At 45.7% G+C, this 14,698-nt stretch overlaps 1 protein-coding gene across 13 annotated transcripts in view, besides 1 other annotated feature; it reads right to left on the bottom strand.

Moving 5' to 3' along the window:
* The window catches only part of GALNT14 (polypeptide N-acetylgalactosaminyltransferase 14), a 251,659-nt gene that overhangs the window by 102,558 nt on the left and 134,403 nt on the right, over nucleotides 1–14,698 (bottom strand). For 12 of the 13 annotated variants that reach the window (XR_007081588.1, XR_001738943.2, XR_001738941.2 and 9 more), the window contains one exon: nucleotides 3,499–3,668. The exons of the other annotated variant lie outside the window; for it this stretch is intronic. Coding sequence is in view for 7 of the 12 variants with exons in the window: in NM_001329097.2 (NP_001316026.1) it covers nucleotides 3,499–3,668 (170 nt within the window). In the remaining 5 variants the exon portion in view is untranslated. The remainder of the gene's footprint in view (nucleotides 1–3,498; nucleotides 3,669–14,698) is intronic. 13 annotated transcript variants of the gene reach the window in all.
* Nucleotides 2,737–3,237: an enhancer, noted in NCBI's record as "H3K27ac hESC enhancer chr2:31214942-31215442 (GRCh37/hg19 assembly coordinates)". NCBI's record gives its function as "activates a minimal SCP1, AML or CMV promoter by ChIP-STARR-seq in naive H9 embryonic stem cells {active_cell/tissue: H9 hESC(naive)}" and the evidence as "EXISTENCE:reporter gene assay evidence [ECO:0000049][PMID:30033119]".

Here is a 14,698-nt window from a genome sequence, read left to right on the forward strand (position 1 = left end):
CTGACAACTTAGTGATCTTAATGCTCTTTCCTGGTACTTGGGGTATAGATGTGTGCTCCGTTTGGGGGTTTAGTTGCATCTCTTGCCTGATCATCTTGAGTTTTCTCACAGAAACCTCTCCTTCCATTCCTGGCCCTTCAGTATCAGCCTACCCACATACCCTGTAATAATAGCAACAACTAGAATTTGAAAAATATTTACTATTAGGTAGGTAAATACCTTATATATATATATATATATATAAAAATATATATATTAGTAGATATATAAAAATATATATTAGTATATATAAAAATATATATATTAGTATATATTAAAATATATATATTAGTATATATAAAAAATATATATTAGTATATATATAAATATATATATTAGTATATATATATATTATTTGATCTTTATAAAAACTGAATTAGGTAGGATCATTATTGTGATTTTTACCCCTATTTTCCAAAAGAGGAAACTGAGGTACAGAGAAGCTAGGCAACTTTAAGTTTACTCCTAGTCAGCAGCACAACCAGGACTGTAAACAGGGCAATCTGATCCCAGGATCAGTATCCTTAGCCCCTGGGCTATTACTGCCTTCCATTCAACTCTGCTTTTAAAAAGAAGGCTTGGCCTTGTCCTGTTGCTGGTGATGGGGTTGATAAAGCATATTTACATTTCATTTTTGAGAACTTAGGTAAAAAGCAGAGGTGGATTCACAGCAGAGATCTTCACTGCAATTTCGCCTCAAGGGGATGTCTATGGCAAGGTGGGGAGACATAGCTGGTTGTCACAACTTGGGGAATGTGCTACTGGCATCTAGTAGGTAGAAGCCAGGGATGCTGCTGAACAACCTACAATGCACAGGACACCCTGCAACAAAGTATTATCTACCCCCAAATTTCAGTAGTGCTGCAGAGAATCCCTGGTCCCCAGAACACAGGTCACCAGCAGCATTAGCTGTTCAGTTCTGAGGCAGACAGGGCCCAAAAGGCCCCAGGGCCCTGTCAGCCCAGACAGGCAAGCTCCAGGAATTGCATCAGGATGAAGCCGGGACACAGTGGGGAGGCTGGAATCACAGAAGGATTAAGAGACATAGCTGATGACTCCAACCTAGAGTCAGGGTTTCCCTGAGAACTAAGAGCTGGAAGTGTGAGATGAGATCCTATAGACGGAAGGGCCCAGTTGAAAGAAGAAAACAGGGCTTTGCTGGCAGTCTTTGGAGCTCTCATCACCACAAGGGTGACACCAGTATGGTGACTAAACTTGGCTTGGAGATTGCTGATCCAGTTGGTGGCCCCTCACAGTGCTAGCCTGGGGCTTTGCACATAGTAGGTGATCTATATCCCTAGATGGCTGCTGGTCCCATGTGCTTGCCCTCATTCTCAATCACCTGACCTTTCCTTTTCATGCACATTCAGAGTAAGTTCTTTAAGTGTGAAATTCTCTGAGTAACACAATCCCAGCTCCCACAGGGCAAGGCTCGTGCCCTGAGGCAGACATATGGCTGATACACTTTCCCTTTTTGTCTTCCCAAAGGGAGTCTAAATTCTGTCTAAATCCTCTCTTCCCTTCTTGCTGTAATCCCAGCAGATCACACTTTCTTAACAGACGGAACACACTGGGCTAGGTGCAAAGCCCGGAACTGGACACCGTGAGCTGGGCTCCTTGGAAACAGGCTCAGTTCTTCATCACCTACCACCACATATGCCTAGCCCTTGCAAAATGTTAGTTTCTGCCTCTAAATGGTAGAAGAAGTTAAGTGTAGAAACTAGTCCTGCTCAGGGTATCCCCAAGTACCTGCCTGCTCAGTGAATTACTTGTTGCCTTCTTTCTGCAGGTGGGAGCAGTCACAGGTGTCTCTCGGGGGGCTGTCATCCAGGTGCGCCAGCAACTTTCCTGGCTAGGAGAACTCCCTTTGTCCCTCAAGAAAGCCCTGGCCTCTGGACTCAGGACAAGGGTCCACCTGCCTAAGACCCAGCGGAGCTTCTCAGGTTCCTGTCTCCTGTCTCCTCCCTCTTCCCCTCTCTCCTATCTGCAGTTTCTGCTCGGGGAAATACAATAACCTAATATTTAAATAAAATTCTCTCAGATGCCAAGGAGTAGGACAAGTGCCCAGGAATTTAAACAGGAATAATACAAGACTCTGATTTTCAGACACTTTCAGGCCAGTAGAAGGGAGTAAGCAGGTATAGCCCACGCTCTGGGTCTTTGGCAGTAGGGGACTGCCAGGAACTGCTGCTAAGGCAGAGCCTCATGGGTCCCTCGAGGGGAGAGTTAAATTCACAGAAAGTCAGAGTTAGAAGAAGCTGTAATATCATCTAGTTCACCCCCCTTGCTATATTCATAGGGAAACCAATACTTCAGCTGCTTTTGGCAATGATGGGGATTAACAAGGACTGGTTGAGTCACTCCAAAGCATACATGCTGTTTAGAAGACAAGGTTTCCAAGTAGTGCAACCTAGTTGGGGAAATGGAGTCCGCCAGCCTTCACAGGGTACCATCTTAAGAACTGCCAGAGGAATCAGCCTCATAAGTCATGAAAATGCCTGCTCTACTGCTCATAAACCCCAGTTTCCACAATGTGAGTACCCACAGACCCAAACAAATATAAGAGGCTAAGAAGCTAACACCAGTACCACAGCTTCTCAGCATGCCAGTCTGCTATTTAAGACTGGTGCAAAGTCAATTTCCTGCAGCAGACAAGAAAGGCCCACACAGGTCTTTGGCATTTCTGGGCCCCCAGTTTGGAGGCCAGGAGCCCGGGAGTGGAGGAGCTGAGATTGAGACTGACCTGCTTACTAGGTCTTACCAGGGAGCATAAGGGCTGCTATGACTCTATAAAGGGTCGGTCGTGAGGCAGAAAGTCTTCACAAAGCCTCTGCTTGCTAGGAAACAAAACTTTCTACGTAGCTCCAGGCCTGATCTCTGCAACCCACTGAAGGCATGGCCTGACTAAAGGCTGGCAGGATGGAGCTGTGTGAATGAGCCCCTCCAAAGGCAGACAGAAGAACCAATGGCAAGCTGGCTCCTCTTCTCACATGGTGAAATGTCCAACGGCTGGCACTGGAAGGCTCTCTCCCAGTCACAGAAAACACCGCCCACCTACCTGCCCCAGGGTCCAATCATCCTGCCTTCCCCTACTTTGGAACCCAGCCTCGGGTGTGGGAATCTGCCAGGGAAAAACAGGCCTTGGCTGTAGTGTTTTTGGTGCTCTATGGGTTCGTGTCAAATGATCCCTAAGGTGAGGAGCAGGTTAAAGTGAAAGAGGCCACCCCTGCCCCCAGCCTCCTGGTGGGACCTGCGGGGTTTGGGATTGCTCTCAGCAGTAAGCAGTAGGCAACACAGCCAGGGTCAATCACCAAATCCGAATCCCTTTAGTGTTCAACTGGCAGCAGATGGTCCAGCCCGGTTCTTAGCACTGGTGCTGCATACAGCAGGCCCCAGATCAAGCCTGCTGTTGATCTCTTTTGACTGCGGGGGTAACAGAGTGGGAGAAGGAGGAAGTACCTCAGATGGCGAGTGTCCGGGATGGCCCGATTGCTGGAGATCCGCTCACTCTCCCGCTGGTTGAAAGCATACAGCTTATAGGGGTCGTCACCAACGCGCCACTTTTTGGCATTCAGATACCGCCGCTCATCAAACTGGTCCCACAGGTCGTCCCAGTCAGCGTCCGAAGGCTGCGTGACACGAATGGGAAGTCTGTGAGAACGGCTCCCTGTCCTCCACTAGCCCCCGTCTGCCTATCAGTACCCAACCCCAGAGACCAGGCTTATTCTGGCAAGGTTTGGCTCAAAGATGGGGTCAGAAGCAGAACATAAACTAAACCATCAGCAACAATAAAAACAGAACTATGACAACGATGGCTGCCACCATTTTCTGAGCACTTCTATATACTGGGTGCTGTTCTAGGATCTTGACTCACATTACTTCATGTAGTTCTCAGAGCAATTCTATGAGAGGGATGCTGTGCATACCCTTATTATACAGATGAGATAACAGCCTGGAGAGGTAAGTACCTTGCCCAAGATCCCACAGTTAGGAAATGGCAGAACTGGAACTTCAATTCTAGTATCCCAACCCCAGAGGCCATCTCTCCAGGGCAATCTGAGAATACCTGGTATGAAAGTGCTTGCCCCATGGCTGGCACAGAGTTTCATGAATGACTGTCATTCCTCCTCTGCTGTAGAAGGGCCAGCGATGGGAAGGAAGGAGGAGTTCCGTCTACAGTGGTGTGCTACTCACCACCACCCTATCTGTTCCTTTCTTCCTCCTACCCAGGAATCTGGTATTTTTAAGAAGCATCAATGGGGGAGTGAGTAACAACCCTCACCGTACATGGATAGAGCACTTCAGAATTGTAAGGTGGCTTCTGTATTCATGATCTCATTTCATCTTCACCCAAACCTTCTGAACTGAGTAGGGAAGATGAAGTTCCAAAAGGTTGACTGGCTTGTCTGAGGTCACACAGGTGGGAAGGGGCAGAGCTCAAAGCAGAGCTCAGTCTCTGTGGCCCCTCCAGCAGAGGAGGCAAGGGAATGCCTCCTAGCCACAGCCCAGGCTGCCTAGTGTGGGTCTGCCCTGCCCACACCGGTTCCACAGCCAACAGACTGTCCACATAGCTAGCAGGAGGTGTGGACTTCAAGGCCTTGAGAAGCTGGACACTTAAATTTGGTGGTCACTTCCCAATGCATGTTAGCACTCTCACCCCTGGGGAGGAGCTGGTCTGTATCTAAAACAGCTCAGAACTTTCAAGTTCATAAAACATAAGACTCTGTGTTTCCAGGAAGAAAGTGCTGATCAGGTTCTGATTGGAACATGAGGGTTGTTGGTATGCTGGGGCTGACATTGTCCCTGAGGGTGGGATGCTCATTCATGTGTTACTGAACCCAGTGGCCGTGCAAGTGTCTCAAGCTGCATGGGTACTAACTAAGGGCACTGAGCTGAGAGCTGCCCATCCCATTACTGAGTAGAATGCACCTCCTGCACTCGGGAAACCTGACCAGGGTGGCCCAGGGCAGGCTCCACAGACAGCAGTGCAGGGGCTTGGCCCACGTGGCAGGTTAAGAGGGGCTGCTGGCCAGTGTGCATGTTCATCTGGGCACCATGGTGAGCTTATCCAGTAATTGATCTCTCTCTCTCTGTTACCTCCTTTTTAAAAACAGCATTCTCCTGCTAATAGCATAAAATGAAGCTTTGGAGACCAGAGATTTTTATCCAATAATTGATTTTATTAATGTCCTGTGATACTGCGGCTACAGAACATTCTAGAGGAAATCGGTGGGGGTGAGAAACCCCCAGCCTGTGTTTTGCAATGTCACAGCCTGATAGCTGTGACCTCTGCTTGGAACATCACCCCACGGTAACCTTGAAATCCCATCCTCATGGGAAGGGCCATAGAACTGTCTCCCACTGGCTTGTTTCCAATTTAATTCATCACAATTTTCTAAATAAGTTGTGAGCCCTTATGGTGCTCCGAGCTAGAGAAGAGCGATGTGGAGCTGGAAGGCCCCTGCTCTCGAGGGGATTGCAACATTGCAGAGAGACATGCATGGAGATGCCTGTAACACACCGCAAAGTGAGTTCAATTACATGAGCACGATGACAAGGCTATGAGAGCAGAGGAGTGAGGGGAACTGGGGACAGCTTCTTGAGTAAGGTGTCAAATGAGTTCGATCTTGAAGGATGAGTAGGGATCTTACTTTGCTTAAGGGAGGATAGAGAGGGAAAATAAGTATGTAGCAAAAAGCCAGATAAAAGGCAGTATATTAGTCAGGGTCCTCTAGACAAGCAGAACCAATGTTGTGTGTGTGTGTGTGTGTGTGTGTGTGTGTGTGTGTGTGTGTGTGTTCATGTGCATATGTATACAGCCACATATGCATAACAACATTTCAGTCAATGACAGACTGCATATACGACAGTGGTCCCATATGATTATAATACTGTATGTTCGCTGTACCTTTTCTGTTTTGATATGTTTAGATACACACATACTTACCATTGTGTTACAAATGTCTACAGTATTCGGTGTAGGAACAGCTGTACAAATTTGTATTATAGCCTAGGAGCAACAGGCTATACCTTACAGCCTATGTGTGTGGTAGGCTCTACCATCTAGGTTTGTGTAAGTATATCCTATGACATTCACACACAAGGATGAAATTGCTTAATGTTTCTTTTTTTAGAGATGGGGTCTCACTCTGTCACCCAGGCTGGAGTACAGTGGCTCAACCATAGCTTATTGCAGCCTCAAACACCTGGGCTCCAGCGATCCTCCTATCTCAGCTCCCAAGTAGCTGGGATCACAAGTGTGCACCACCATGCCCAGCTCATTTTTTTACGTTTTATTTTTTGTGGAGACGGGATCTCACTATGTTGCCTAGGCTGGTCTCGCACTCCTAGCTTCAGGCAATCCTTCCACCTCGGCCTCCCAAAGTGCTGGGATTACAGGGGCCACCATACCTGGGCACTGCATAGTACTATATGATCTTTTATATATATAGTTTAAGTTGACACAGAAAAATATGTATTATAAATAGGAATTGGCTTATGTGATTATGGAGGCTGACAAGTCCCAGGATCTGTGGTGCTGGAGATCCAGCAAGAGCTGATGTTTCCAGTGGAGTCTGAACGCAGGAAAAGCCATGTCGCAGCTCAAAGACATCAGCAGGAGGAATTCCCTCTTAGCCTTTTTGCTCTTTTCAGACCTTCAGTGAATTAGACGGGGCCACCAACGCTGGGGAGGGCAATCTGCTTTCTTCAGTCTACTGATTCAAATGTTCATCTCATCCAGAAACACCCTCGTAGACACACCCAGAATAACATTTGACCAAATGCCTGGGCACCCTGTGGCCCAGTCAAATTGACAAATAAAATGAACCATCACAGGCAGGAAGGCCCAGAGAAAAAAAATCTGTTCAGGGAATGGCTAACTGAGGAATAGCAAGGCCGGAATGTGGATTGCAAAGAGGACATGAGTGAAAGAAAACTCCAGAATGTAGTTGAGTCTGCCTGAAGCAGGTCATGGAGAAAACGTCTCTGGCCACACGTGGAGGACAAGGAGACCAGCTGGGAAGCGGCCTCAGCCATCTAGCCAGGTGGGAAGGGACGCTGGAACTGGGGCCTGCCTAGTGGGTCATTGCCTCCCTGTGCTGGAGAGGCAGGTGGAGGGGCAGGCACGCATGACGACACCAGAGAGGGTGGGCACAACTGACCTCTTGGCCTCACCCCCCCTCTACTCTCTATTCACACCAGATAGAGGCATGGGCCCAAGAGGGCCCGAGGCTGCTGGTTTCCCTACAGGGCAGCTGAACATCCCAGCATCCCTGGCTACAGTGCCTTCTGGGAGCACCATGTGCTGTGAGCTCTCCAGAATTTTGGAACTCTGGAATTCTGTCCCCCAGCAAGCCAGAGCAGCAGCCAGGCTGGCATGAGAAATTGAAAGAAGTCATGGAAGGTGTCCTCGGAGGGGCCTGTTCCCCTCAGACTGTCATATGCACAAAGCGCAGTCATAGTCTGCTGCACTGAGACCCCCTGAGGGGGAACAGCCCATACTGGGAGCTGGGCTTTTCTACATCAATATCTGAATGTATTAAATAATGGTGAAGGTGTGTTTAAAATAATACCACTACATAAAGAATAAATAAAATAAAATAATATCACTATTTCAATAGCACTTTATATTTTATAAGGCAGCTTGCACGTATATCATCATGCAATCCTCACCCAACCCCTATATGTGCAGGGCAGGACCAGTTTAGAGAGGTTAGGTGGCTGACCCAAGGTCATCGGCTGTTAAGTGATGGAACCACTGATTTAAACCTCCCAACACCAAAGACAGAAACAACAAGAAGCATCTCCTCTACTGAGGGTCGGTAGGCAGAGAAAGACCCTGGGAGTTGGCTTCCAAGCTCTTCCATTCATGAGTCCCCACATCCAGCTTCCAAGAGCCCAAAGTGCCACAGGAGGGCACAGTGTGGGGTGTTCTGGCCACACCATCACAGGACACCAGCCTCCTCCCTGACTCTGCATGGGGCCTTTGCAGTACATTGTATCTATACTGTGAATTCCATTTCCTGGCTCATACAAATATCCGGGAAAGCTTCTGAACACACATGCTCACCTTCCCACACTTCCCTGGTACAGGAAGTGATACGTCCCGGGAAAACAAGAACAAATACCCAGGAGCTCCCAAAGGGCTCCACTCAGAACTGGGCCCACTCCTGTGGGGCCTTCATCAGCACCCATGGCCCCCAAGCAAGCCCCCGCTTCACTTTCTGACTAGAATTTATTCAACCTAGAGGGAATGTGTTTCAAAAGTATGATGCCACAAACAGAAAACACAAACGTTATCCCGTTTAAAGTTTTATTTTTAATTAACAAATAATATCTGTATATATTTATGGGGTACAATGCGATGTTTTGTTACATGTAGACACTGTGGAATGATCAAATCAGGCTAATTAACATTTTCATTTCCTTAAATATTTATTTATGGTGAGAACATTTAAAAGTCTCTGTTCTGGCTATTTTGAAATATGCAATATATTTTTATTACTAACTATAGTTATTCCTCCTGTCTAACTGACTTTGTACTCTTTGACCAACATCTCCCCCAGCCTCTGGTAACCACCATTCTACTCTCTACTTCTCTGAGTTTGACTTTTTTTAGGCTTCACATATAAACGAGATCATTATTCAGCCTTAAAGGAGCAGGAAATTAAGTGATTTGTGACAACATGGATGGATATTATGCTAAGCGAAATAAGCCAGGCACAGAAAGACTAAGACATAATCTTTTCAACAGAAACTGTCTCGTTAAGTCTGCCAAACCCCTGGCCAAGACCATTGCTTAAATAATCTGGCATCAAAAACTAAAGCTCGATGGCACATCCGTTAAGTTGCTTAATTTCTCTCCTCCCACCATGCTTCAAGGAGAAATCTTGAATCTCCTTTTCTCCTTCCTTCCCTGGGACTGTTTTTACTCCCTCTCACTTCAAGCAGATTATCTGGCTCTGAAATCCTGGTGTATCCCTCCCTTCTGTTAGGATTTAAAGCTGTTGTACATTCCCACTCATGCTTTTGTCTCTCTCCCTTCTTTCCTGAGCTTGGTACTACTAGTTCTCTCTTACTGTCCCAATTGTCTTCTTTTTCACCCTGAAAATGAGAAACTCTTTATCCCTTTGATACAGCTTCTATCCTACCATGAACTGTGTCTGATCCTGAAGAGAACGTCTCAAATTTACCCTGTAATAAATCAGCTAACACCCAGGAAGAATACTTACTATGTGTCATAACTATTTACATTTAATATTCACAATAATAGGTACCAATATTACCTTTCCATAATTGGGGGTATGTAGGCACAGAAATAACAGGTCCCAAGTCCTGTGTCTGATATCACACAGCTTGTCAATGCTGGAGCTGGGATTAGAACTCCGGCAGCCAGCTCCAGCCCCCATGTTCTTTGCCATTAGGCAGCACGGCCTTATCACAGCCTCACTGCCATTTTCTTGGACCATCTTCAAAGACTCACTATCTGTGCATTTCCTGTCATTTTCCTCAGCCAACTTCTTTCTTTGCTTCGGGCTATTCCTCCTTCAAAGGATGTCTGCACTCCCTTCACCATCAGCCCCTCTACTCTTCACTCTCCTTGCTGAGAAACCCTTCTCCTCCCAGCAGTGAGCTTATTCCTAACAGCCAGGGCCAAAAAAGGAGGTATTCTGCAGCTGGATTCCTGCAAGAAGGCGGGGATGTGCTGCCAGGTTAACGTAGAAGAAGGTCAGAGTAGAAAACAGCGATGTAAATTCTTATTTAAAGAGGATATCATGAATCTATCCATCCAACGTTGGAAGCTTCAGCATAACATGCCACTGCCCCATGGACATCCCTCCTGGGTCCAGCTAGTGACACAGAGGTCCCAAATAGCCCACTCCAACCTTAAAGAACTGCAACTTCTAGATATGTCCTTCTTATATTGATCAAGAATCTGTCTCCTGGTAATATCTCCCTTTTGGATCTGGTTATGCCCCCATGGCCATTTGGTACTAGTCTAATCTTTCTCTTTCATAGTCTTCAAATATTTAGTGGCAGCTATTATAATATTTCCCAGATCTTCCAACCCCTGGTACCATCACTGAGATTTGCACCTCCGAAAAATTAACACACAGGAGTGTGAAACAGGTAGCAAAGGGTCTAACTGTTCTAGACCAACTGAAGTCAGATGGGTTCATCAAGGAATTCAAACACAGTGGAGACCCTGCCATATGTGTGCTATGAAAAGGGAGATATCACCCAGCATAGAGGCTACCTTTTATATCAACGTCTCATGGACAGATGTTGTTCTGTGAAAATGCTGTGCCTATGGTAATGCCTGCCATTCACTGGGCACTTACTATGCACCAGGCTCTACACCATATTTTATCAGGAGGAGAACCCTCTTCTCCTCACCCACCAGATCATATTTCCATGGAAGAGTTATCTCCTAAGAAAATAAAATATGGTGTGGAGCCTGGCACAGTCAGTGCAGGAGAACACGTAAAACCCTATCCAGGGCATTGCTGTGAGTGTCGTAAACACTTCCAGTGTTTCTTTCCATCCTTTCATGCTCCTCCCCAAGAGAGGCAAAACTATTCTCACCGGTTGGAGCCACACATGTTTTGCTGGTGAGCAGGACTCCTGTGTGGTAAAGCCATGGCCTAGCCCTCTAGTCTGCACTTCCACTGTCCAGGTGGAACAGGTTGTCCTGTTCTATTTGTCCCTAGGTAGTAAGCACACACTAGGCTTACTTTCTAGAAGCAAGCCTATCTCACCCAAGCGGCTGTTTGAATATGTAGATCTGGGGTCTGTGCCACCATCTCTCCCTAAACCCTGAGTGTTCTGGTCCCTTAGTTTAGAGCTGAAGTGGGGATATAGGAAGCTCCACTTCATCCTCAGGCAATTCCACGTTGTCCAACTCAGCTTTTACCCAAAGCCTTTCCTTAGGATTAGAGGAGCTTGCTTGTCTCAGGTCATGAAATTAATAAAAGTATTATTCGTTTCCCATTTGTTTGCAGATTCTTGTATGTGTTTCTGTATTGGTCAGGGTTCTACAGAAAAATATCACCAACTGTGTGTGTGTGTGTGTGTGTGTGTGTGTGTGTGTGTGTATACACAGAAATTGAGAGGACAGATTGATTGATTGGCTGATTGATTTCTAGGAAATTGGCTCATGTGATTATGGAGGTACAAATCCAAAATCCTCAAAGTAGCCTGGAGACCCAGGGAAGAGCTGCAGTTGAAGTCCTAAGGTGGTCTGCTGGCAGAATTCCTTCTTGCTTGGGGAGGTCAGTTTTGTTCTTTTAAGACCTTCAACTGATCGGATGAGGCCTACGTACATTATGGAAGGCAGCCTGCTTTACGCAAAGTCTGCCAATGTAAATGTTAGTCTCATCCAAAAGACACCTTCACAGAAACAGCAGAATAATATTTGACCAAATATCTGGACATTGTGGTTTGGCCACATTGACATATAAAATTAACCATCACATCTCCCCTTATTAGAATCCCAGAGGGAACTAGTGAGTGAGGGGTACCTAAAGTGAATTCTAACCCCCACAAACTTAAGATATAGTAAGAAACTATATCCCCAATTTTCAAATGAGGAAAGTGAGGCACAGGGAGGATAAATGATTTGCCCAAGTTCACACAACTGATGTCTGTCTCAAAGCCTGTACTGTCTTCCCTCTTTTCAACAGACCTAGTTTTAAGTAGCTGTGGGGCCCTGGAGTTCTCGTCTCCATGTAGCCAGGCTATCTCCAGGACCACAGCCAGCTCTGGCTACCTGATACCCCTCAGAGTGCCCTTGCTTTCCACTAGCTGGAAGCTTCTGTTATCTAGCACCACGGCAAACCAGATACTCCCAGGGGACTCTTCATGCTAAACCATAACTAGATTCTACAAGGGTTCTGATGCATTTCTGGTCTTTCTAGAAGGAAAATCTTCAACATGAAAGAAGGAGTGAAGCCAGGAAAAAAATACAGGATGCGGAAACTAGAGGTAGGGTAGTTGAATGATAAGCAGAGGTAAAATGTGAGGCTGCCCTCAGGGTAAAGGTCACTGAGAAAATAAACCGTGGCTCCCAAAAGGTGGAAAAGCTAAACCTGAGTCTTCTGTAATTAAGCCCAAGAAGGGGACAAAGTGGTCCAGATCAGTTGTACCCTGGCTCCCAGAAGAAGCAAATGTAAGTCCTATGTGGAGGAAAACATCTCCAATTTAGGACCCCAGAATTCCCACAAAGCTCATCAAAAGATGAAACCACAATACAAAATTACCAGACACACAAGGAAACAAGTCACTATAAGACAAGACAAGTCTACAATGTAAGAATCAGTGGAAACTATAAACAGATTTAGATGCTCCAAGGACTCTGGATACAGGAATACTAGATATAGAATAAGGCATAACTGTAGATAAAATGTTTAAAATATGGTATAATGTAACAAAACTATACTTGTACTCCCCAAATGTATACAAATAAAAATAAGTAAAATAAAATATGGAATAAAAATTAGTAAAGAACAAAAGACAAAAAATGGCTGGGTCGATTTGAAAAAGAACCAAATCAAACTTTCAGAAATGAAATAATAATGATGGAAAGTCAATATCAAACAGGCCCAAGAAAATTGTTTATAATCTGCGAAGCATTTTCACTTGAATATCTCGTTTTTACTACCCCTATGAAGTAGCCAGGCTGGTTATACTGTTACCACTTCACAGATGAAAAAACTGAGGCTCAAAGAAACAAAGGGGCTTCTTCAAATCATATAAACAGTGAATTCAGGCCAGGCGCAGTGACTCACCCCTGTAATCCCAGCACTTTTGGGAGGCTGAGGTGGGCGGATTACTTGAGGTCGGGAGTTTGAGACCAGCCTGGCCAACATGGTGAAACCCCATCTCTACTAAAAATACAAAAATTACCCGGGCGTGGTGATGTGCGCCCGTGGTCCCAGCTACTTGGGAGGCTGAGGCACAAGAATTGCTTGAAGTGGGGAGGCGGAGGCTGAAGTGAGCCGAGTTCATGCCACTGCGCTCCAACCTGGGTGACAGAGTGAGACTCCATTTCAAAAAAAAAAAAGTGAACTCACTACTGAGATTCTAATCCAAGACTTTTCATTTCAAAACTGTGTTCCTTCCATATCACCAGATGCTCCAGTCAGCCACAAGACCACTCTTCCCCACTGTCAGCTAGTCATAAAAATACAAAAGTATCTGCTTACCCCTATACCTTTCTGTTGTCCAGCCAGTTAGGGAGTGACTATATTTTTCCAAGGGCCAGCCAAGAGAGGGAGACGGTGCAACATAATCCCCAGTGAAATGCTAACATATCACCATATGCTCCCATATCATACTGCTAATATAACTCCCACCTGCAGAGAATGGATGGTCTGGGAAGAGGATGACTGTCAGTGGCAGACATTCCCCACAGCGTGCAGAACAAGTTCCAGTGAGGAAGGAGGGGCACCCAGCCCTTCGCTTGCCTGGGCTCATGCAAAGGAAAGAGCTGGAAAATCCTTTCCCCTCACCGAGGGACCCCACATCAATTATGGATTATTAGATAAGATCTTCATTTTAATATTTCCTCCATGTATTATCACCTTCTTCCTCTCACTGGAATTCTGTCTTGGGAGTTATTTAACTGATGTGCAGAAATCTAAATTTAATTTATTATGCTCTAACTCACTTTAGAAGCCAAATTACCCTGCACTGGAGAAGGATCAAGTCAATATCCCACTTGGCTTTCTATTTATCTTCTGTGGGGGTTTCTCTCCTTCTCTTTAGTATTCATTTTTATCTCAGGTACTGGTAATAAATTTAAATTTTCCTCAGAATTAAGCAATTGCTCCTTCAATGTTGTAGTTTAATGGTTAGTATTAATTATATGAAAGGCACTCCTTAAATAGTTTGATAGATAGAATGGACATATAATAGAGGAAGAAAGGGCAATTTCTCGCACCAAATGAGGTAGCACATAATTCAGCAGGGATGAGTTTACTTTTCTGTTCTACCTCCTCCTGTCCCTTTTCCCCACTTTCCTCCTCACCCTCCTCCCTCAACAGCCAGGTGCCTAGAAAATAAGTCTGCTAAGAGTTGCTCTGCTGTGGCATCTCTGAGCCCCCGGAGGGTCTGCCAGCCAGGCCAAGCCTGGATCCCTCTTTAGTGTGGGAGTCTTTTTCCATTTGATTTCTCTCTCATTTAGTCTCTGACAACAAAAGCAACCACTGCCCATCTCTCTCCTCCCCACCACTTCGCCCATAAACACTCTCCCCACCCATGTCTCAATTGCGCTCCACATGCATTACAACTTTGGGGGAAGCTTCCAGCTTTCTGGAAGAAGAAAAGTTCCAATAATTATTATAATTGCCTAAAAATTCCAACAGTGAAACATAATATGATTAACTGAATGGACAGAAGCCCGGTTTTTGTTTCTGGAATAGAAAAAGAAACTCACATATTTGGACCTTCTATGGAGATTAATTTACTTACAAATTAGCACGAGAAGGAGGTGCCAGGGAAGTCTAAGTCAGCATGACTGGGGAAGCGGGCCTGGCTCCCAGGCACGTGCCAGGAAGCGTGAGCTCTAATGCTGATGTATCTGCTTCCTTCTTATCAACACCCTGTAAATTCCACCACCAAAGACTGAACCCAAAACTCCCTTATGTCGATGGGCATC

This window comes from Homo sapiens, chromosome 2 (genome assembly GCF_000001405.40).
Source record: "Homo sapiens chromosome 2, GRCh38.p14 Primary Assembly".
NCBI classification, from domain to species: Eukaryota; Metazoa; Chordata; class Mammalia; order Primates; family Hominidae; genus Homo; species Homo sapiens.